Source organism: Homo sapiens, chromosome 2 (assembly GCF_000001405.40).
Source record: "Homo sapiens chromosome 2, GRCh38.p14 Primary Assembly".
Classification (NCBI taxonomy): domain Eukaryota; kingdom Metazoa; phylum Chordata; class Mammalia; order Primates; family Hominidae; genus Homo; species Homo sapiens.
In genome coordinates, this window is record NC_000002.12 from 98,261,403 (window position 1) to 98,285,774 (window position 24,372).

The window sequence follows — 24,372 nt, forward strand, 5'->3', positions numbered from 1 at the left end:
CTTAAAGAGTAAAGAAAACAACAAAAGGAATTACATACCAAACATACAAGAATACTAGTGTTTGTATTTACCTGTGTAGTTATCTTTACTAGTACTATTTATTTCTTCATATGGCTTAGAATTATCTTCCAGTATCCTTTCACTTGAACATGAAGAGCTCTTTATAGCATTCCTTTTAGGACAGGTCTACTAGTAACAAACTCTCTTACCTTTTATTTATCTGGAAATGTCTTAATCTTGTCTTCATTTTTGAAGAGTAGTGTTACTAGATAGAGAATTCTTGACTGACATATTTTTTTTCAGGACATTAAATATATCAACATGTTGCCTTCTGGCTTCCATAGTTGATGATGTGAAATCAACTGTTCATCTTATGGAAGAGTCCTTATTTATGACAAGTCACTTTTGTCTTGTTCCTTTCAAGATTCTCTCTTTGCCCTTCAATAGTTTAATTATAATGTGTGTTGGTGTGACTCTTCTTTGTGTTTATCCTGCTGGAAGTTTTCTGAGCTTCATGAATCCTTCTCCACATCCTTGGCAACACTTCTTATTTTCTATTTTGTTTTGTTTTTGTAGTGACCATCCTAATGGATATGAAGGATATCTCATAGTGGTTTTGATTTGCATTTCTCTAATTATTTTTTTACATGATTCCTGGACATTTGTATATCTTCTTTGGAGAAATGTCTAGTCAAGCCCTTTATCCATTTTGAAACTGGGTTATGTTGTTGTTATTGTTGAGTTGTAGGAGTTGTTTATATATTCTGGACATTAACCCATTCTCAGGTTTATGATTTGCATACACTTTCTCCCATTTTTTAGGTTGCTGTTTCACTCTGTTGATGTGCAGCTATTTTCTTTGATGCACAAAAGTTTTTAAGTATAATATAGTCCCATTTGTCTATTTTTGCTTTTGCTGCCTACACTTTTGGTGTCATATCCAAAAAAGCTTGCCAAATTCAGTATAATGAAGCTTTATCCCTGTTTTCTTCTAGGAGTTGTATAGGCTTGGATATTTAATCTGTTTGAGTTAGTTTTTATATATGTTTTAAACCAAGAGTCCAACTTCATTCTTTTGCATATGGATAACCAGTTTCCCCAGAATCACTTCTTGGAGAGACTGTCGTTTTTCCTTTGTGTAGTCTTGGCACCCTTGTCAAAAATCACTTGACAAGATCACATGAGAGCTTATTTATGGACTCTTTATTCTGTTCCAGTATTCAATATGTCTGTCTTTAGGCCAGTACCACTGCTTTGATTACACTACAGTGTTTTGATTATTGTAGCTTTGTAATGTGTTTTGATATCTGGAAGTATGAGGCCTCCAACTCTGTTCTTCTTTCTCAAGATTGTTTTGGCTATTCAGGATCTGTTGAAATTCCATATAAATTTTAGGATCTTTTTGTACTTATACAAAAAATACCATTGGGATTTTGATAGGGATTGCATAGAATTGTACATCACTTTAGGTAGTATGGACATTTTAACAATTAAGTCTTTCAATCCATGAACACAAAATGTCTTTTTTATTTATTTGTGTCTTCTTTAATTTCTTTCAGCAATGTTTTGTAGTTTTCAGTGTACAAGTCTCTCACTTCCTTAAAATTATTCCTAATTTGTTCTTTTTGGTGCTATTGTAGATGGGATTATTCTCTTAATTCCTTACCTGATTGTTCATTGTTAGTGTATAGAAATGCAACTTATTTTGTGTATTGATTTTATATCCTTTAAGTTTGCTGAATTTATTAGTTCTAACAGTATTTGTGGAATCTTTAGGGTTTTCTACATGGAAAATCATGTCCTCTACAAACAGATAATTTTACTTCTTTTCTAATTTGGATATTGCTCCTTTCTTTTTCTTGCCTAATTTCTCTAAGACTTCCAGTACTATGTTGAATAAAGGGAGAAGAGTGGACATTGTTGCCTTATTCCTAATCTTAGAGGGAAAGCTTCCAATCTTTCATTATTAAGTACAATAGTAGCTGTAGGCTTCCTTATGTTGATATAGTTTCTTAGTATTCCTAGTTTGCTGAGTGTTTTTATCATGAAAGGATGTTGACTTTTGTCAAATGATTTTTCTGCATCACTTGAGATAATCATGTGGGTTTTGTCCTTCATTTTGTTAATGTGGTATATTACATTAATTTTCATATGTTGAACCATCCTTGCATTCCAGGAATGAAGCCCATTTTTTTCATGGTGATTATCTTTTTAACATGCTGTTTAATTCAGTTTGCTACTGTTTTGTTGAGGATTTTTGCATCACTGTTCACCAGGGACATTGGTCTGTAGTTTCTTTTTCCTTGTAGTATCTCTGTCTGGTTATGATATCAGCGTAATTTCTGTCTCATAAAATGAGTTAGGAGCATTTCTCCCTTTTCAATCTTTTGAAAGAGGTTTGAAGAGAATTGTTATTAATTATTTCATTGTTTGGCAGAATTCTCCAGTTAAGCCATGTGGTACTGGGCTTTTATTTGTTAGGAGGTTTTTGATTATTGATTTGATCTCCTTACTAGTTATAGATCTATTCAGTTTTTTAATTTATTCATGATTCAGTCTTAGTAGGCGGTATGTTTCTAGGAATTTATCCATTTCTTCTTGGTTATGCAATTTGTCGGTGTAATATTGCTCTTAGTAGTCTCATAATCCTTTTAATTTCTGTGTCATCAGTTGTAATGTTTCCCCTTTTGTTTCTGATTTTAGTTATTTGAGTCTTCTCTCTTTTTTCTTGGCTAGTCTAGCTAAGAATTTGTCAATTTTGTAGGTCTTTTCAAAAAAAAACAAATCTTGCTTTCATTGATTTTTTTTCTATTGTTTTTCTATACTCTATTTCTAATCTTTATTATTTTCTTCCCTCTGCTAACTTGGGCTTTCATTTGTTCTTTTCCTAGTTCCTTGAAAAGTAAAGTTAAATTGTTAATTTGGGACCTTCCTCCTTTTAAAATGTGTTTACCACTATAAACTTCCTTCTCAGTACTGCTTTCACTGCATCTCATACATTTCGATATGTTGTATTTTTCCTTCATTTATCTCAAGATATCTTCTAATTTCCCTTGTGATTTATTCTTTGACACATTGGTTGTTTAAGAATATGTGACTTAATTTTTATATTTTTGTGGATTTTCCAGTTTTCCTTTTGTTATTATTTCTAGGTTCATTTCATTTTGTTCAGAAAAAATACTTTGCTTTCAACTTTCTTTTTTTAAATATTTGTTTTGTGGCCTAACATTCAGTCTATTCTGGAGAATATTCCATGTGTACTTGAGAAGAATGTGTATTCTGCTGTTGTTTGGTGGAGGGTTCTCCACATGTTGGTTAGGCCCAGTTGATTGGTGGTGTTCAAGTCCTTTGTTTCATTATTGATATTCTGTGTAGTTGTTCTGTCCATTATTGAAAGCAGAGCATGAAGTCTCCTGCTAATACTGGGTTGCTGTCTATTTCTTCAGTTCTGTCAAAGCTTGTTTTATGTATCTGAGAGCTCTGATGCTAGGTGCACATATAATTGTTATATCCTCTTAGTGGATTTGGGTAGTATGGACATTTTAACAATTAAGTCTTTCAATCCATGAACACAAAATGTCTTTTTTATTAAGTCATAAGTTGATATAACAACTTATGACTTAAAATCTATTTTTTTATTTTTTATTTTTATTATTATACTTTAAGTTTTAGGGTACACGTGCACATTGTACAGGTTAGTTACATATGTATACATGTGCCATGCTGGTGCGCTGCACCCACTAACTCATCATCTAGCATTAGGTGTATCTCCCAATGCTATCCCTCCCGCCTCCCCCCACCCCACAACAGTCCCCAGAGTGCGATGTTCCCCTTCCTGTGTCCATGTGTTCTCATTGTTCAATTCCCACCTGTGAGTGAGAATATGCGGTGTTTGGTTTTTTGTTCTTGCGATAGTTTACTGAGAATGATGATTTCCAATTTCATCCATGTCCCTACAAAGGACATGAACTCATCCTTTTTTATGGCTGCATAGTATTCCATGGTGTATATGTGCCACATTTTCTTAATCCAGTCTATCATTGATGGACATTTGGGTTGGTTCCAAGTCTTTGCTATTGTGAATAATGCCTCAATAAACATACGTGTGCGTGTGTCTTTATAGCAGCATGATTTATAGACCTTTGGGTATATACCCAGTAATGGGATGGCTGGGTCAAATGGTATTTCCAGTTCTAGATCCCTGAGGAATCGCCACACTGACTTCCACAATGGTTGAACTAGTTTACAGTCCCACCAACAGTGTAAAAGTGTTCCTATTTCTCCACATCCTCTCCAGCACCTGTTGTTTCCTGACTTTTTAATGATTGCCGTTCTAACTGGTGTGAGATGGTATCTCATTGTGGTTTTGATTTGCATTTCTCTGATGGCCAGTGATGATGAGCATTTTTTCATGTGTTTTTTGGCTGCATAAATGTCTTCTTTTGAGAAGTGTCTGTTCATGTCCTTCGCCCACTTTTTGATGGGGTTGTTTGTTTTTTTCTTGTAAATTTGTTTGAGTTCATTGTAGATTCTGGATATTAGCCCTTTGTCAGATGAGTAGGTTGCGAAAATTTTCTCCCATTTTGTAGGTTGCCTGTTCACTCTGATGGTAGTTTCTTTTGCTGTGCAGAAGCTCTTTAGTTTAATTAGATCCCATTTGTCAATTTTTTCTTTTGTTGCCATTGCTTTTGGTGTTTTAGACATGAAGTCCTTGCCCATGCCTATGTCCTGAATGGTAATGCCTAGGTTTTCTTCTAGGGTTTTTATGGTTTTAGGTCTAACGTTTAAGTCTTTAATCCATCTTGAATTAATTTTTGTATAAGGTGTAAGGAAGGGATCCAGTTTCAGCTTTCTACATATGGCTTAGCCAGTTTTCCCAGCACCATTTATTAAATAGGGAATCCTTTCCCCATTGCTTGTTTTTCTCAGGTTTGTCAAAGATCAGATAGTTGTAGATATGTGGCGTTATTTCTGAGGGCTCTGTTCTGTTCCATTGATCTATATCTCTGTTTTGGTACGAGTACCATGCTGTTTTGGTTACTGTAGCCTTGCAGTATAGTTTGAAGTCAGGTAGTGTGATGCCTCCAGCTTTGTTCTTTTGGCTTAGGATTGACTTGGCGATGCGGGCTCTTTTTTGGTTCCATATGAACTTTAAAGTAGTTTTTTCCAATTCTGTGAAGAAAGGCATTGGTAGCTTGATGGGGATGGCATTGAATCTGTAAATTACCTTGGGCAGTATGGCCATTTTCACGATATTGATTCTTCCTACCCATGAGCATGGAATGTTCTTCCATTTGTTTGTATCCTCTTTTATTTCCTTGAGCAGTGGTTTGTAGTTCTCCTTGAAGAGGTCCTTCACATCCCTTGTAAGTTGGATTCCTAGGTATTTTATTCTCTTTGAAGCAATTGTGAATGGGAGTTCACTCATGATTTGGCTCTCTGTTTGTCTGTTATTGGTGTATAAGAATGCTTGTGGTTTTTGTACATTGATTTTGTATCCTGAGACTTTGCTGAAGTTGCTTATCAGCTTAAGGAGATTTTGGGCTGAGACAATGGGGTTTTCTAGATATACAATCATGTCGTCTGCAAACAGGGACAATTTGACTTCCTCTTTTCCTAATTGAATACCCTTTATTTTTTTCTCCTACCTGATTGCCCTGGCCAGAACTTCCAACACTATGTTGAATAGGAGTGGTGAGAGAGGGCATCCCTGTCTTGTGCCAGTTTTCAAAGGGAATGCTTCCAGTTTTTGCCCATTCAGTATGATATTGGCTGTGGGTTTGTCATAGATAGCTCTTATTATTTTGAGATACGTCCCATCAATACCTAATTTATTGAGAGTTTTTAGCATGAAGGGTTGTTGAATTTTGTCAAAGGCTTTTTCTGCATCTATTGAGATAATCATGTGGTTTTTTGTCTTTGGCTCTGTTTATATGCTGGATTACATTTATTGATTTGCATATATTGAACCAGCCTTGCATCTCACTCAAAACCGCTCAACTACATGGAAACTGAACAACCTGCTCCCGAATGACTACTGGGTACATAACAAAATGAAGGCAGAAATAAAGATGTTCTTTGAAACCAACGAGAACAAAGACACAACATACCAGAATCTCTGGGACGCATTCATAGCAGTGTGTAGAGGGAAATTTATAGCACTAAATGCCCACAAGAGAGAGCAGGAAAGATCCAAAATTGACACCCTAACATCACAATTAAAAGAACTAGAAAAGCAAGAGCAAACACATTCAAAAGCTAGCAGAAGGCAAGAAATAACTAAAATCAGAGCAGAACTGAAGGAAATAGAGACACAAAAAACCCTTCAAAAAATTAATGGATCCAGGAGCTGGTTTTTTGAAAGGATCAATAAAATTGATAGACTACTAGCAAGACTAATAAAGAAAAAAAGAGAGAAGAATCAAATAGATGCAATAAAAAATGGTAAGGGGGATATCACCACCAATCCCACAGAAATACAAACTACCATCAGAGAATACTACAAACACCTCTACGCAAATAAACTAGAAAATCTAGAAGAAATGGATAAATTCCTAGACACATACACTCTCCCAAGACTAAACCAGGAAGAAATTGAATCTCTGAGTAGACCAATAACAGGATCTGAAATTGTGGCAATAATCAATAGCTTACCAACCAAAAAGAGTCCAGGACCAGATGGATTCACAGCCGAATTCTACCAGAGGTACAAGGAGGAACTGGTACCATTCCTTCTGAAACTATTCCAATCAATAGAAAAAGAGGGAATCCTCCCTAACTCATTTTATGAGGCCAGCATCATTCTGATACCAAAGCCAGGCAGAGACACAACAAAAAAAGAGAATTTTAGACCAATATCCTTGATGAACATTGATGCAAAAATCCTCAATAAAATACTGGCAAAATGAATCCAGCAGCACATCAAAAAGCTTATCCACCATGATCAAGTGGGCTTCAACCCTGGGATGCAAGGCTGGTTCAATATATGCAAATCAATAAAATCTATTCTTTAAGTTCACTGATTCTTTCTTCTGCTTAATCACATCTGCTGTTGAACCCCTCTAGTGAATTTTTCAATTCACTTATTGTATTCTTCAGCTCTAGAATTTCTATTTGGTTCTTTTTTATAGTTTCTGTCTCTTTGTTGATATTCTCATTTTGTTCATGCATCACTTTTCTGAGTTGTATTTGTTGTCTCTGTTTTCTTTTAGCTCATTGAGCATCATTAACATTGTTGTTTTGAATTATTTTTCAGGTAATTAATATATCTCCATTCCTTTTTTTTTTTTTGCTTTGTAATTAGTATATTAAGGAGACTATATATTTCAAGAATTGCTTAAATTCTGATACCCAGATTTAAGCATGTGAACATATGAGACTCTTAAACATACAATTAAAGCTATTCATCATAATTTGCTATACTACCAACATTACTTTGGAGCGTAAGTCAAATGGTTTAAAGTAATCCTGTAACATACCTAAAGAACACCTTCCTATATTATGCATGCAAATTCTCCACGTAAAGGTCTTTTCACTTTAATTTCTATGTTACCCAGCTCTGAAGTCACTACTCAGGCTTATCATGGTCCACAGACAAGAAGGGGGGCAAATGACCAGGACTGGTCAAGAATATATCTCCATTTCTTTGGGACCAATTTCTAAAGATTTATTTTGCTCATTTGATTGGGCCATTTCCTCATATCTTTGTGTGCTTTTCCCTACATTTTTTATGCCTTATGATATTTAGTTGATAATATGACATTTGAAAAAACAGCTATCTCATCCGATTTTCACAAACTGGCCTCTTACAGGTGAAGGGCTTCACCAATTATCCCAGCTAGAGATTTGGGGGACTCTCTGAAACCTTTTCTGGGGATGTGTCTTCTCTGGGCTTGTGTGTGTAATTTCCCAGTGAAAAAGATTTGCCCGTTTCTTTCAGGAGCCTGTAATATCTTGTTCCCCCTGGTGTCTCTCTGAAGTACTGCAGTATCTCCAATGCTGTAACAAGCTGTGACACTCATTTCTGTTCTCAGAGGTCCCAACCTGACCTGCAAAATATGCCACTGTTCTCATCAGCATTCTGAATCAGGCAAGACGGAAACCTATTTCTTCAGAAGTCCCCCAAAACACAAGAATTTTGAATGTGCATTCCACTCTCTTCTCCAAAGGAGGAGCCAGGATTGGGGAGCTTTCTTCCAATTGCATCACATTGTTTTGGGGAGGAGGGGAGGTTAGGGCAGGCAAAATGCAACAAGCTTTCTTACTCTCCTTCATGCAGCTTTTCTTGGGTTTGTACTTGTCTGAGGTGCCACAACCTCTTCATTTGTTTCTGGAATTCTCGCAAAGGCGATTTGGTTCATATATTGTTAAGTCAGTGTCTCTGTAGGGGAATGAGGGCCTGGGTTTTTATTCCACCATCTTGCTGACATCATTCCAATAAGAATGTTTTGCTGTCTTCTGGGTACGAGTTTGTTTGTGGATGGAGTCCTGTGATTGTGCTGAGTTTAGACTGTTCTCTTCCAAAATCCAACATCTAAATAAATAAGTGATGCTTTCAGCAATAAGAGTGATAATCATGAATTGTTTTCTTTCTCCCTACCCATTCCATTCTAGCAGTGTCTGACTCAGAAGCAGCTCAGACTGGAAACAGAATCCAGGACCTGGGCCATCACACCACACTAGCTTCCCCTGGAGTCCCACCGCCTGCTTATCAGCCATAGAAAGTTTGGCTTCTGTTCTTTATGTATCAAAACAGCAAAGCCAAATAGTTTAGACTTATTTAGGCTTGCAAAGAGGAAAGAAGATAAAAATAGCTAAAATGAGCTAGTATAAGAATTACTGCACTGAGGCAAATATTTGGGTTTGTTTTGCTTTGCTTTGTTTTTCAGAGTCACTGCTAGGCATACTTGTGTGAAATCTCTTTGAAGCCCATGTTTGGTTCTGCCAGATGTCAGGCTCCAAATACGGAGAAAAAAAAATGCTGAAAATTTTATGTGTATCATACTTCTTTAAAATCAGATAACCTAATGAGGTAATAGGGAAAAGTGCCTACCATAATTCACAGAGATGGTTATTTCTAACCTTTGCAAGCTACCAAAGTCCTGATAGAGCAGAGGGCATGGCTATGATGCTGTCATCTGACACCTGACACTAGCTTCAACAGATGTTTCTCAGGGGAGAATTTCTTAGGAAACCATCTTACCATATTTTTTTATTATAGTCATTTTCTTTGCTTTTTGTTTCTTCCTCTGTTTGTTTGTTTGTTTCTTTGTTTTTTAGGTTAGATGCAAACAAACCAATACAGTACTTGGAAAACAAAACAGTTTTAAACCAGGCTTTAGAACGGTTGAATTGGCCCATTTCACTGAAAGAGCTGTCGATGCTGGAAAGTGAAATCCTAGCTGGGAAAATGTACATCCAGCAGGCCATGGAACTCCAGGAGGCTGCCAAGAAGAATTATGCAAACAAGGCCCCGGGAGAGGTGGGTGCCCTGGAGGTCTCTGTCTTTCCTCCCTCTCTGCCTATCCCAAGTCATTGCCATTCCTACATTGGCTTCCTTCTCTGTCTCCCACTCCCCGCCACACTGATTTCTAAAAGTGTTAGAGCCAATCCAGTTAAGGTCTCAGTACTTTTTTTCATCATAAAGGAAATGCCATTCGATTGTACTATGGACTTATTTTTAAAACAATACGTCTTTTAATTGAAAAAAAAAAGCTAAATAGAAGTATAATGTAGTGATTAAAAGCCTGGACTTTCACAGGAGCCAGACCAAGAACTAGCCGCAGATCTACCATCTAACCTGTGTGTGATTTTGGTTACTCAGTCTCTTTAAACCTCAGTTTTCTTACTTGTAAAATAAGAGTATTAATAGTATCCATCTCATAGGGTTGTTATAAAGAGAAATGAACATGTGAAGTGCTTAGTATTGAAAGCTCCCCATAAGTGTTAGCAATTTTTTTTAATAATCATTAATAAGGCAAACCTTCTAGAAAGAAAAATAATTTATAATCCGGTTGCCTTATTGCTACCACTTGGGAGCCTTTCCTTTTAGTTTTTTTTCTCCTCAAATGTTTTCTACATAGGTGCAATCAGAGTGTCCATAATTATTGTATATTCTGCTTTTAAATTTAGCATTATTTCATAGACTTTCTCTGTGTTTTTATTGAATTGTCAGATTCATATGGGTGATGGTTACATAATATTCCATGGTGTGAGTATACCCTGGTTTATTTGATTCTTCACTAAATGTTAAACATTTATAGTTATTTTCCAGTTTTCTGCTTTCTCACATAATATTTGCATGACTACTGTGGTGCACAGTTGAATTATTTTGTTAAGATACAGCCTTAGAAGTAGTATTTCTGGATCAAAGAGTATAAACATTTGGAGTCTATAAATACACATGGCCAGTGTGAAACCTACTCTCTGACTATACATGGGTGTGTGTGGACGGTGCTTTGTTTGAATGTGTCCCCCAGAGTTCATGTGTTGGAAACTTGATCTCCCTTGCAGCAGTGTTGGAGGTGGGACATTTAAGAGGTGTGTGTGGGAAAAACAGTTCTCTCAACCGGTGCTCTCGCACCACAACAGCAATCATCAACAGGGAAGAAGGCTTCTGTGACCAAAGGTGTGGGGGATTTCCCCACACATACCAAGCGGCAGACACCGGTTGGTTCTCCTCCAATTCAACTCTGACACTACCTACCTAGAGATGACATCAGATCCCACAGGTTGAGGGCTCAGTCCCCAAGACTGGCCCTCCCAACACATCAGTCACAAGTCTGGGCCTCCAGAACTTCTGACTGACCCGCTTCAAGTTGGGGTTCCCACAACTCCCTCTTTGAGTTTGATTAATTTGCGTGAGTGGCACACAGAACTCTGGGAAACACCAACGTTTAGCAGTTTATTATAAAGGATATTACAAAGGATACAGATGAAGAGATGCATCATGTGAGCGATGCAGGAAGGGTGCAGAGCCTCCTTTCCCTGAGTGCTCTCCCTGGGTGGGCCACCCTCCAGGAGCCTCCATGTGTTCAGCTGTCAGTAAGCTCTCCAAACCCTGTCCTTTTGGGTTCTTATGGAGGCCTCATTACTTAGGGATGATCGATTAAAGCATCGGCTCTAGTGATCAACTTACCTTCAGCCCCTCTCCCCTCCTGGAGGTTGGGGGTTGGCGCTGAAAGTCTTAACTCTCTAATCCTGCCTTGGTCTTTCCGGTGACCAGCCCCACCCTGAACCTACCCAACAAAGACACACAAAGAACAGTACTTCAGAGACCCCAAGGATGTTAGGAGTTATGAGCCAGGAATCATGGAAGAAAAGAAATGTATATCTATATGCCATATAAATATATATATGCCATGTAAATATATATATGCCATAATACCACAAGCTGGCTAGACCATGAGGGCTCTGGTCATAAATGGACCAATGCCATTATCACAGGAGTGGATTCCTTATTAAAGGAATTCCTTTTTAAAGAGCTTGGATCTCTGTTGTACACTCTTTCTATCCCATGTGATGCCTTTTGCCAGGTTATGGGCAGCAAGATGGCCCTCACCAGGTGCTGGCCCCTTAATCTTGGACCTCCCAGCTTCTAGAACAGTGAGCCAGTAAGTTTCTGTCTATTATAAATTACCCAGTTGGTGGTATTCTCACAGCAGCACAAAACGAACTAAGAGAGATCTGGAATAGTTCATCCAAAATCTTACTAAATCCTAGATAATTTTCAGATGTTCACCACATTATAGTCTAAAAATCATTCCCAAAGATCTGACCTTTCAGGTTCATCATCTTTGGTTCAGTCTTTGCCAAGTGATACTGGTTTAGCCTGGCTTAAAATTCTCTTTTTGATGCTCTAGATTCTTGTGTTTTGTTTCATTTTGTTTTGTTTGTTCTCTTTCATTTTATTCTTTCTTCTGCAAATCACATTTTTTCTTCAGTGTCAAAAGCTATGTCTTTTGTGCAGAATGTAAAATTTTTATCACAGAAGGTCATATGTCTAGTAATGTTATTCAAACAAAATGACTTCCTCAAAGAATTATTCAGTGTTTCTTTGGGAAGTACCATCTGACACCCCCAGACATTTCTCTGTCGATTTACCTTCCTCGCCTGCATGCCCTGTGGGCACCTAAGACTCAAGAGGACCAAGAGTGAATTACCTGCCTCTCCTTGAAAAGATGATCTTCTTCTCATTGTGCTTTTCCCTGTCTGCTTGCTCTTTCACTTATTCATTGAAACATTTATGAGTGCCCATGAGATGCCAAGCACTATTCGAAGCACTGGGAGTACCTAGAACACAACAGACTTAGTCCTTAGACTATCCTAATTTGAACGAGGATGACAGACCATGGCCAGTCCCAGGTGTTGAGCTGTGGAGACCCTGCTGCATAACAGCAGAATTTGCTGGCATATTCTTTTATCTATACTTTATATTAAATTTGCAAATAGGAAGTGTTGCGAATGGAGTGAAAAGAAGCCTCTTGTGATTCAGAGCAGAGATAATTGTGTTCCACTGAGTTCATCTGGAATTCTGGCAATCAAGCTCATTGTTTACAACATACGAATTAATTGAATTAATTGTTCTATTTCTTTCTTTTCTTACCACAAAATGGGAATAAAAATAATTCCCGTAATTTCTTCATCCAAAAATCATGGATAGGATTCTGCACATGGGACAGGTGCCCTCAGGTGTTGAGTAGCCTCTCTCATTCTTTTCTGTCTCCCTGGGATCTCCCAGGGGGATACCTTATATTGGACACAAAATGGGGATTTGTTAGCTGTGTTGAATGCATGGGCCCAGCCTAATGGAGGAGACATTGCACCAGAGCATCACTGCTGTGAGAGCCAAGAACTGGTCTGGCCTTATTTGTAGCTGTGTCCATGGCACTGACAGTGAAGCCCAGTGCCCAGGGGCCACTTAACCATGTGTATTGAATGAGTGAAATGCAAACCCTTACAGCCTTTCACTGTATTATAAATACAACAGAGGCACCCCCAGAGAACAATGGAAGATGGGGAAAAGTGACCTGACTGGGCAGTTAGGGAAGGCTTCACTAATCCAGTTTAGCCCAGAAGGATGCCTAGGAATTGGGGACTGGGCTGTGAGAAGTGTTTGGAGTGAAAGAAACAGCCTGGGCTCAGGCAGGGATGTGGGGAAGAACGCGGAGTGTTCCCTGGGGAACGTGGCAGGAGAGACGTTGGGCATGGGAGGAGGTACCAGAAAACGAGGTATTTGAACTCTGTTGGGGTCAGGAACTTATGCCTGTAGGAAATGGACACCAGGGAGGGGTTTTCAGCAAGTCAAGGACATTCACGGATGTGTGTTTTAGAAAGATTATTCTGACAGTGAGCTGAGGCCCAACGTAAAAGACCAAAATCCGGTGCAGCGCTCCCCTTGAGAGGTGTTGAGTCCTTGAGCCAGGTAGGAACACTGGGGAGAGAACAGGTAACAGAGACATGGGTTATGGGAAAGTAGGCCATGTGGGGCAAAGTTGAAGGTGCTCACAAAACTTCTGCCTTGGACAACTGTAGGAGCAGAAGCACTGCTACCCCTTCCATCCTTCCTCTGCTCCTCAGGGAGACAGGTGCACCCTGGCCAGCCTATCCCATCACATGTCATCCTCTAACCGTCTGCCACGTGTTTGTTTATTTTGCAGCACACTTCACTACCTGACATTATGTACACTTTTGTTTACAGTCTGTCTTCCCCACTGAAATAAGGGTGGGACTTGGTTTGTGGTGCTGTAGGTGCTCCCAGAGCCTAGAATCGTGGTGGGCACCTTGTAGGCATGCATACATATTTCAATGAATAAATGAAAGAACAAACACAGAAGAGGCACAGTGAGAGGAAAAGCAGATTTTCAGGGAAAGGTAGTTCACTTTCAGCGCTCTTGATTCTTAGATACCCGTGGGGCACACAGGTGAGAGAGGCCAATAAACAGCCACATGTCTGGAGTTTAGGAGAGAGGCCAGAGTTAAGGAGATAGATTTGGAGGTAATTTCAGGTGCTGGGAGAGGAGGAGGAGAGAGTAGAAGGGACCAAGGCGGATGAGGCCCGGGGTAGAGAGCCAAGGACAAGAGGCAGAAACTCAGCTTAGAAGGCCTGAGTAGCGTCACACAGCTGGAAGATGGCAGTGCTGAGATTTGCATTCCAGTCCACCTGACTTCAAATAAAAAAATCAAAGCACTGGACTAAAAGATGGTTGTGAGACCACGTACTTCACATACCTGGGAGAGTGCACAGCACCAGGTGCTCAGCAGTAAATGCACACAACATATCAGTGATGGCTCTTTCCACTGCTAAAGTTATTATCAAGGAGGTTTGGAAAGACATGCAGAATGATGTCTGAAAGCCATTTGACTTGCCAAGAGAAGGTGCATTAGTGAGGTTGGCCAGAATAATGCCAGTGGAATGGTGGGGGCAAAGGCCAATTTGCAGTGGGTAGAAGGGTGGGTAGAAGTGGAGGAAGTTAGTATAAGAAGTGAAGACTTTTTCTTCCAGATCTTCACTGGGAAGGCAGGGAGAAAGAAGGTGGGAACATCAGGTGAGCCAGTGCAGGAGAAGGCATTTAGTTTGTGCAGTGGCATCACTGGGTCTGCTGCTGCCTCTTGGTCAGGGGCTAAGACTGTCCCCTCACTGCCTTGCCCTCAACAGGCTGTCGAAAGCCACCCTTGTCTGTTAGGGGAACGCCGATGTTCCAGCATAGATGTCCCTAGGTAACGGGGAGAGGTCACATCTGGTGACTTCTCCTCAGAGATCTTTCCACTCGTGGCATGGCTCTCTGCAGTGGAAGATTTTGAATGTTGTTTTCTTGCAATGATACTTCTCCTTTCCATGTGTGATAGATTCTGAGACTTCAAAATGCCATTACTGTCACACCCCGCAGATTCGATTTTGTGACCCACTAACAGGACTCAAACTTTGGTGTGTGAAGCTCCAGGTTTCAAGGCCTTCTGAGATCCTGGGGTGAAAAACGCATCAGAGATGCAAGTCATTTTTCCTGATTTATATGTAAATACAGTCTCATTTTAAATTCTTTTAGCAAAGGCCAAAGCTTTTGATGGATGAGTATAAATTGCCATGAAAGAGCCCCTCTGTTCATCATTAAGCACCCCCATGAGCTGACTGATAACAAGCAGCAAAATGGGGATGAGACCATTCAGAGTGGGCTGCCCATGTGTGTCCAGAGGGCTGTGGCCACTGCGTTTGGAGTGGGCTGCCCACGTGTGTCCAGAGGGCTGTGGCCATTGCGTTTGGAATGGGCTGCCCATGTGTGTCCAGAGGGCTGTGGCCACTGCGTTTGGAGTGGGCTGCCCATGTGTGTCCAGAGGGCTGTGGCCATTGCATTTGGAATGGGCTGCCCATGTGTGTCCAGAGGGCTGTGGCCACTGCATCTGGCCTGCTCCAGGGTGCGTTATGGAGTCTGGATGACCGGGGCTTTCTGATACCCTCATCTGGAACAGGGTTGCCCTCCCCCGCCCCATAGCTGCCTTGCCGATTCCTAAGTTTGGGGCAGCTTCATGATTTTTCTGTCAGTAAGAACCAGCGGTGGGAAGGAGACACGGCAGCAAATGCTGTGTCCAGGGAGCCTGTGCCTGCTTTTTATGCTCCAGCTTCCACGGGCAGTTCCTGGCTGGCCCAGATGAGACCTAAAGTGAGAGCCGTTATTCCCACCTGCTCTGCCTGGCATCCTGCACAGGGCACATTCCATGCTTGACTGTATGATGGTTTCCACCTATGTCCATAATCCACAGGCTTCGTGGTGTCCCTGGAGATGGCCACTTGGCTCACTGACTACATAATGACAGGAGAAATCTTAAGTCTGAAATTTTAAATTCCCTTTGAAAACTCCCCTCCCTAGCACCCCTCATGTTACTGTGATTGCAGATTTCACCCTCACTAGCCAATCCAGAGCCCTCAGAGCTGAACGATAGGGGAAGTTGCCGGAGGGCATCTGTGAATTATAATTAATCCTCCCTGGGAGCCTGGTCTAGGGCAGCCCAGCTGTGCTGTCCTCCAACATTTTCTGAATAAATAAAGATTGTTCTCCAGGGCAAATCCTTTGGCCCAGAAAGATCAAAAAGGCTCTCTCACCCATAACCTTGACTGCTTTGGAAAATCTGGAGGTAGAAAATATTTTTAAGCTGAAAGCAGCTCTAAAGGAGGCCGTGGAAAGTTACCCACACCACTGGCTGCACACGTTTCCTTCTCAAAGCCGTGACTGGCAAGGAAGCTGGAGCCTATGGCCTTCAGGGGTGGGGAATTGAGTGCTCTGCTCCGGGAGAAAGAGAGCGTTAGGAAAATGCACACAGGGAGGCAGGCATGGGCGAGGCTGGATGAGGTGGAATTAGGAGAAGGAAGAGAAGAGATCATTTGCTGTTGAGAACATTCTGTTGGGTTGTGACTTTGACACTATACATGCAGGAAGATGTTAGCTGGGGAGACAGAGGAAAGTGTCTTTCAGTTATCAGTTATGTAAAATAAACTCAGAATATATACGGCTGTTATCTGTGTCCCAGATAGTAAATGAACCAATTGTCATTCTTCAATTGTAACTTTTTTTTTTTTACAGTCCATTAACGGGAGGTGTGAGGCATTACACCCTAACTGACTAGTCGGCCTTTCCAATTCCACTAGTAAAAACTTTAGTCTGTTTTGCTGATATTCAGGTCTGTTGGGAAGACTAGCTCCCTAGTGGCTGTGAACTGTTCTCCAGTGGAACAAGATCTACTGATGTTGAGACAGGAAATTTTCCCTGACCCCTTCATGGGACTTGCAAAGAGGGTGGCTTGTTTACTCAGCCCGTGGCTCTCAGCCCCTCTCGGGAGAGGGAGCACGCAGGTGAGTGGGTGCAGGGGCCAAGATGAGTACTTCTGGGTGCCGGCAGGAGCAGAACTCTGTGTGGCCCCAAGGCAGCTTCTAGAGGAGTACCCACAACCCCTGGAGCCCCAGAGGGCGTGTGTTACCGTGCTCCTTTAGTGTTGCTGTCCACAGATGGCTAAGTGTTTAACTCCTTGGTGTGACAGCCCGCTGTATCCCTAGCTCTTGTTCAGCATGCAGGAAGAATCAGGTCACACGAACAAATTGAAGATGGTAAATACAGGGAATTTTATTGCTGATGAAAGTGACTCTCAGCAGGATGGAGAGCTAGAAAGGGGATGGAGTGGGAAGGTGGTCTTCCCCTGGGGTTCAGCCATCACTGGCCACACTCTTCTCTGAGGTCCCGCCATCAAGCCATCCCCCTGAAGTCAAGCTGCTTCTCAACGACGTCAGGCTGCTGCTTCTCTTTTCTCCATCTCTGCTACTCCACTGCCAGTGGAGCCTGGAGTTTTTATGGGTACAGGATGGGGGGGTGGTGTGGGCCAGAGTGGTTTTGAAAAAGGCAACATTCGAGAAGGAAAACAGGAATGTGGGTCCAGGCTTGAGAGTGGGGCCCTCACTGGGGACTGCTGCCTTCTACCCAGTATTTCCCTGCCTCCTGTCCATATCAGTGGGCAGGAAGTTAACAAGTCTGGGGTGTGCACTGGTGATGTTACCATCACACAGAAGTGATGTGTGCACATTCAGACCATGCCGTCCTCAGACAGCACTGCAGTGATGGTTTAGCATCTGGAAGTGGGACCCCTGATGGGCCTCCAGGGCATGTGGCCAGAGTGAAGCTGAAATCCCAGAGGCAGTGAGAGGATGACAAAGAGAAAATGAAGCCCTTCATTACTGTGCCACGTTTATCTAGGGGTTAGATGGGGCTTTAAGGAGAGAATCCTGCTCAGAAACACCAGTCACTGGAGGAAACTGAAAGAAGGGGGAAAATATCCCCAAACTCTATTTTCTAAGAAGTCTTCTGTCTCATGTCCTGATGTTCAGGAATGGGAAGGTGGGTGTCAACTCTGGGGATCCCTGAGGTGACAAAAACTTAGAACCAGGCTGTCTTTTCATTCTGAAGCTAAAGGCACCCTCCTCGCTGGAGATTCGGCTGGGCAGATGCCAGCACTCTCCTGCCTCTACATTTGTCTTTGTTCCCAACCATGAATTCTACCCAAGCACCCTAAACAGATCTGGGGACAGATTTGCCCTCCCTGTCTGGAGGAAGAAAACGGAGTGTAGAGGGCTTAGCAGGGGCCACTCAGGAAGCAGAATCCAATTCATTCAGCACAAGTGAAGAAACGTTAATGAAGGAACTCTTTGCAGAAGTGAAGGTCAGTCTAAGGCAGTCCGTGGGATATTGCAGGACCCCAGGACAAGCAATAGCAGGAAGCTGTTATCATCCCCAGACTTAAAGGGGCAAGGGAAGGAAAGCGTGTTCCTGGAGCCCTAGAGAGAAAGAGCAGGGAGTGGGCAGGACACCAATACCCCGGCTTCCTCCTGCCTTCTGAGCTTGGCGCGTGCCTCAAGACAGCAAAAATTAGGGAGATAGGGTGGTGTGTTCCCTGGGGGCCAGCCTCTGGGGGTACAGAGCAGGGCAAGGAAGGGCAGAGAGCAAGGGGGATGCGTGAGTGGGGGCGGAATAGCCAGCCCAGAGGAGTGGATGTCTTGAAAAGTTTTCTTAAAGACTCAGAATTCATTTGCACACCAGTCTCGTGTGAGATGTTTGTGTAAAGTAGGTGGCTGGTAGTGGTTCATACGTCAAGGCAGTGCCACGAAAGTGGCTCCCAAGTGTGGCTTTTGTTCATCTCCGGAGTAGCGGGAAATGAATAACTGTATCAGGAACGCGAAATTACAAATCCCAAGCTTTGGTGATTTCCAGATATAAATATGTAACACACTTCAAATTTTTCTCTCTTTGTTTGTTTGTGTGTTTTTTCCTAAAAGAGCAATAAGGGAATATTTCCTGAGATGACGTTGCAGGTTTACTTTCAAGATAGGGAAATAGTTTTGGATTTTTTTGTTTTTCTGTTTGGAATATAGTATATGTTTATTAGATTCCTTTGCTGCCACAAAGAAAAGAAAGAGAGAGAGAGAAAAAAAACACACAAGTTTATTTTCAGCAAAGCTTTGAGGTAGCTATTTGTTAATGTTTGACTGGAGGTTTTGCTTTCAGGGTGATTAACTGTTCTCCACACCCCGGTGCTGCCCTGGGGTCAGGGAGGGGAAGGAATGTTTCCTGGTTCGGGGATCTGTCTGTGGAAGTGTTTCTTGTGCCTCTTAGCCATTCGCACGGCACAAAGCGCTACCAGCTGGGATGAGGCTGAGGCCAGACCGCTCACCAGGCCTGTGCCGGGCTCAGGAAGCAGCGCCTGGAGAGGGAGGTGGAAACTGCACTGGGGTTTTGGGATGCGTGTTACTGGCTGTGTGTTTTCACGAGTTATGCTATGCCCTGGGGAGGCGGGGGAAAACCTCACAAAGCACTCCTCTACATCCCTTTGGTTTTTAAGGCAAGGCTAAGTGCCTAAGACTACTGGAAAGGAAGGGGATCAAAACCCCCTTAAGCCTTGGCCGGCCAGGCAGCACTGCCAGCTTTCCCTTGAGCCCCCGCCCAGATGTGCCGTACTTGATAGCAGCTCACAAGAAGACCTTGCTGCTTCTTCAGGGCTCATGCAGGAAATTCCACTTAGAGCTTCACTTCTTTAGCACAATATTTGCCTTCTGTTAAAGTGCAAATGCCCTGGGAAGGAAGGCACTAATTCGTTTGCCATGGGCCACTCGCTCCCCGCCCCGGAGATGCTGGGCAGGAGTTTGCCACTCCTGATTTCTATTTTCCTGTAAGCTCTTTTCTCATTCTCTCTCCAGTCCATTTTTCAAAGGGATGCAGAGTCTGGATACTTTCTGGGTGGATGAAATCCCTCTAAATCTAAATGAGCGGGGAGAGAGTGAGTTCCCAAACGCTTCAGGTTAGCCCTGTCCTGTTCACCAAGGTTTTAAAGGGAGTTGAATTATTCACAGAGACAGTTTGCAAATGTCCCGGTCTTTTAATTAAGTGTCCTAGAAAGGGGAAAGGTCAGCACCTGTCTGAACCTACACACATTCCTTTGATTAGAGCAGTGACAGACTTTACATGGCCTTAAGGACAAACGTGGACAAAGAAGCATGTTGGAGCTGCTGTTACGACAATTAGGGGATTGTATATGCTGGAGTTCAATGATTTAGGGCAGGAAAAGTATTTAGTAGTGGGTGTTTTTAACAAGATTTTGAGCCAAAGATTAGTTCTAGTTAATTTGTAGAAATGTGTTCTGTACCTAGTGTAGAAGTATGCTGCTTGTTACATGGAAAATTTTAAAGCATCAAACCTTTAGTCATTTCACTATCTCCACCACCATGTCCAAGAGCATGACCTTGAAATTAAGTCACGAAATGAAAAGAGGGTCACACCATTTGGGGCCCTCGTCCATATCACCGAGATTGAATCTGACAAGGAGGTGAATTGGATTATCTGAATTTTGTAGACAAGGCTAAATCAAATTACTTAGCACACAGCATCCCTCCTGCTGGTGTCATTGCTCGTGGGACTTCCTCACTGAAACTGGTGGGCGGCTATTCTTGTGTGCCTGAGTCTAAACATATGTTGGCTTATTTGTTTGAGAGCTAGCCTTTCCTGCTGTCTCTCTATTCCCTCTGACTTTCATCACCCATGGGTTTCTTTTTAGACCTCGGTAGTTTGCATGTATTTTGTGTGCATGTATAGGCGAGGTATGGCAGAAAAGAAATGGAGTTGGGAGACGTTCTTTGACGTTAACTGTACGGCACCCCGAAGTCTTTGGCAAAATTCAAAACCAGCAGGATGTCATCTTTCTGGAACAAAGTTGTCAATATTCTGGCTGAAGGGATGGCACCTCTAGCTGCCCTGGGGAGATGTCTTTTCATCCTGGGAAGCCTATGTTCTGTTTCTGTGGGATGAACCATTATACTGAAGCTGGCCATTGTGCTTCATCTGTGGTATAGTTCAACTGACTGTGCCATGATGCAAATGAATCATCATGTAGGCCATGGTGAATAATTCCTTCCATAAAGTCCCATGCTGTGGAATCAACCAGAAATGAATTCTTGCCAATAGTAATAACAGTTGGAAACAAAGCAGAGTAAACATGAATTACTTTTTTTTTTTTTTTTTTTTTTTGAGACAAAGTCTCACTCTATCACCCAGGCTGGAGTGCAGTGGTATGATCTCGGCTCACTGCAACTTCCGCCTTCCAGGTTTAAGTAATTCTTGTGCCTCGCCTCCTGAGTAGCTGGGATTACAGGCGCACGGCACCACACCCAGCTAATTTTTGTGTTTTTTTAGTAGAGACAGGGTTTTGCCATGTTGGCCAGGCTGGTCTCAAACTCCTGGCCTCAAGGGATTCACCCGCCTCAGCCACCAAAAGTGCTGGGATTACAAGTGTGAGTCACCGTTCACAGCCAACATGAATTACTTTTACAATGTTCTTTAGTATCTGTCCTTGTCCTTTCCAGTGAACTTACAGGCGTATGAATGACTTGAAGGGGAGTGATACTTGTAACCATTTAGAAAGACATTTTCTTAGGCGTCATTTGCAGTGCTAAGAATGAATGCCATAGCATTGCTACCATTCACTGTCACCCAGGCAGGGGGAAGCTCTTCACAGAGTGAATGGCTATTCTCTATCAGAAGAATTGGGAAGTGAGTGATAACTATAGAAAAAAAGAGTTATCTGATTATTTTAGGCAACTCACCTCCCAGATTTATACCTTTAAACCCATTCTGAAAATGTAGAAAGCAATCTCCTCGGTTAGCTTCTGGCTAAGAAATTGAGAGAATCAATATTTGGAATCTAGAGACGAAAGAGGGCTAGTTAAATAAATTACGTGACTCTACTCATTCAGAATTTTAAAAAGGAACTTTAAATGTATCTAGGCATAGGTTCTAAGAAATGACTTCTCATACTAATGAAATCTAAGAGGGAGAAATGCCTTCCCAGAATCGATGTGGACATCTTTACGGAATCAGGTTTTTATTCGTCTGGAGACAGAGAGACTGTCTCGTGGTCTCAGTGACCAAAGTATCCTCCCAGCCAGCTGGTCTTTGACATGAACACTGGTGACCTGAAGCAAGGTGGCTTTTCCGTAAAGGCTTTAAACTTTATGGAAAAGTGAGGTTTTTAAGTAACAGTTGATTTAGCATGGCAGGCTCCAGATTCTGAAGACTCTAAATTCTATCCATTATTAGAACACTTTACACAGTCTTCCATTGAAGAAATGACTGTAGGAAGCTGTGCTTGGGCATCCCACTGGAGTATGAAGATGGAAAAACTGTGCTACTCATGTTCTCAGTTGTGGCTGGTGCATTTCTCTCATCTTGTGGGAACTGCCAGCAAGGGTAGCAGGCTTGCATCCTGGCCTTATACATACATCCTAACAGTTTCTCCAAGAGTGTAGATTAGCCCCTCCTAAACAGAAATAGGGAACTAGGAAGTGGTAGAGATTATTTAGTTTGTTGCCTTACTTTGCATATGCAGAAACTGAGGCCCAAGAAGGCTGAGCAATTGCCCAAAGTCCCATAGCCAGGTGGGCAGCACCCAATCCTGTTTCTCCTGCCTCCTAGTCCAGCTCCTTCCTCTGAGGTCATTTCAAGCCACAGTAGGCCATTTTGAACCTTGCATTAGAAAGAATGCTTAGGTTTCTCCTCTGGGTGAAAGCTCAGGAATAAGCAGGTGACATTCACCACCCACCAGTGATGGTGAATTCTCTTTGATGTACTGATTGCCTCAGCAAATGTGCAAGTTCCACAAGTAGGGAGGGACCCAAGCAAAGTTTGGCTAAATGTGAGCATCGTAAACAAAAGAATATAGTTCACCATCCATTTTTGTCCGTGGCTGCAGAGGCTACAAGCAACGCAGGTCTGAAGATTTCCCACAGTCCCTGTAAGAGACCTTAACCCCTCAGCTTATTTATTCTCCACTTCTGAGGACGTGGCTCTTAAGTTTTCATCTCTGAGGTTATAAACCGTATTTCCGCTTATTTTAATGAACCTAAAAAGCATCTCCAAACAGGTCCAAATGATAGATGGCTACAACAGAACCCAGTCATATCAGGGCACCATGGAAATGAGCCCACTTATTTCCAGAACCCAAACTGTATTGAACATGAATAATAACCCAAGAGCAAATGATGTGCAGACTGCCTGAAATTATTTAAATTTTTATAGCCAACTGCCTCATAAATTAGAGACTTTCTTAAGAGGAGGCCTGCAAATGAACTCATAAAGTATGCATTGAATATTTTATTTATGATATAACTATAGCATGGCAAATACATAGCTATAGCTATATAGCTATATCACTGCAAAAAGGTGGCATCAAAATGTCTGGGCAAACACTTTATATTGGACTTTGTGTCATGGAGAAGAAGAGCATTTGATGGTCTGAAAAGAGGAGACACTTGAGAATTATTTTGCTAGGCACTCCAATTGGGATGGAGGACTAATTTCTTTAAGAGACTCAAGAATTATAATAAGTTTATGGTTAAGAAAGAAAAAAGAAATGAGTAAAAATCTAGGATGGAAAATCCCCAGTTTCGGCAGTGTAGCAATTTGGAGAAAAAGTCCTATGTGGTTTATCTTTTGATTTGTAGATGGATTCGGAAGCTCCTGTACTCATTCAGTCATTCAGTCCACTACAGTATATGCAAAATATTATGAGTGGTTATGTAGAGCAAACCAAAAACATTTTTACCTTAAAAAAAAGATTTGTAGAAGTATAATTTGTACCCTCATGAAGGTTACCTATTTCAACTCAATGACTTCTAATAAAATTGACAAGAGTTTTCAACTTACTACTACAATCCAGTTTTAGAACGTTATCTTCCTCCTAACAAGATCCCTCATGCCCATTTGCAGTCACTCTCTGTTCACACTCTCAGCTCTGGATAACCACTAATCAATTTGTCTCTATATATTTGCCTTTTCTATGCATTTTATAAATAAACGGCTGGATAATATTCCATTGTATGGATATACCACATTTTGTTTATTCATTCCCCAGTTAATGGACATTTGAATTATTTCTACTTTTTTATTATTATGAATAATGCTGATATGAATCCTCATATACAGGTCTTTTTATAGTTATAAATTTTCATTTCTCTTGATGAGGTATATGAAATGAAATTTTCATTTCTCTTGACGGGTCAGATGGTAAGTTTGTTTAATTTTTTAAGAAACTGCCAAACTTTGTTCCAAAGTGTCAAAAATCAATTGACTATAAATATAAGGATTTACTTCTGGACTCAGTACTGTTTCACTAATCCATATCACTATCCTATGTCAGTACCACAATTTCTTGATGACTGTAGGTATAGGAAGTTTCAAAAGAAAAAAAAAAAAGCAAGTCCTCCAAATTTGTTCTTTTTCAACATTTTTTGGGGGGTCATCTGTGTCCTCTGCATTTATATGTAAATTTTAGATTCAACTTCTCAATTTC

At 41.4% G+C, this 24,372-nt stretch overlaps 1 protein-coding gene across 16 annotated transcripts in view, besides 1 other annotated feature; it reads left to right on the top strand.

Annotated features, from left to right (window-relative positions):
• Positions 1–24,372, top strand: part of VWA3B (von Willebrand factor A domain containing 3B) — a 243,450-nt gene that overhangs the window by 174,236 nt on the left and 44,842 nt on the right. For 14 of the 16 annotated variants that reach the window (XR_922885.4, XR_922884.2, NM_144992.5 and 11 more), the window contains one exon: positions 9,280–9,481. Coding sequence is in view for 13 of the 16 variants with exons in the window: in NM_144992.5 (NP_659429.4) it covers positions 9,280–9,481 (202 nt within the window). In the remaining 3 variants the exon portion in view is untranslated. Of the gene's footprint in view, positions 1–7,939; positions 8,125–9,279; positions 9,482–24,372 lie in introns of those variants that run through there. The other 2 variants (NR_144296.2, XM_017003564.2) reach the window with 2 other exon arrangements.
• Positions 18,799–19,299: an enhancer, noted in NCBI's record as "H3K4me1 hESC enhancer chr2:98896664-98897164 (GRCh37/hg19 assembly coordinates)". NCBI's record gives its function as "activates a minimal SCP1, AML or CMV promoter by ChIP-STARR-seq in naive H9 embryonic stem cells {active_cell/tissue: H9 hESC(naive)}" and the evidence as "EXISTENCE:reporter gene assay evidence [ECO:0000049][PMID:30033119]".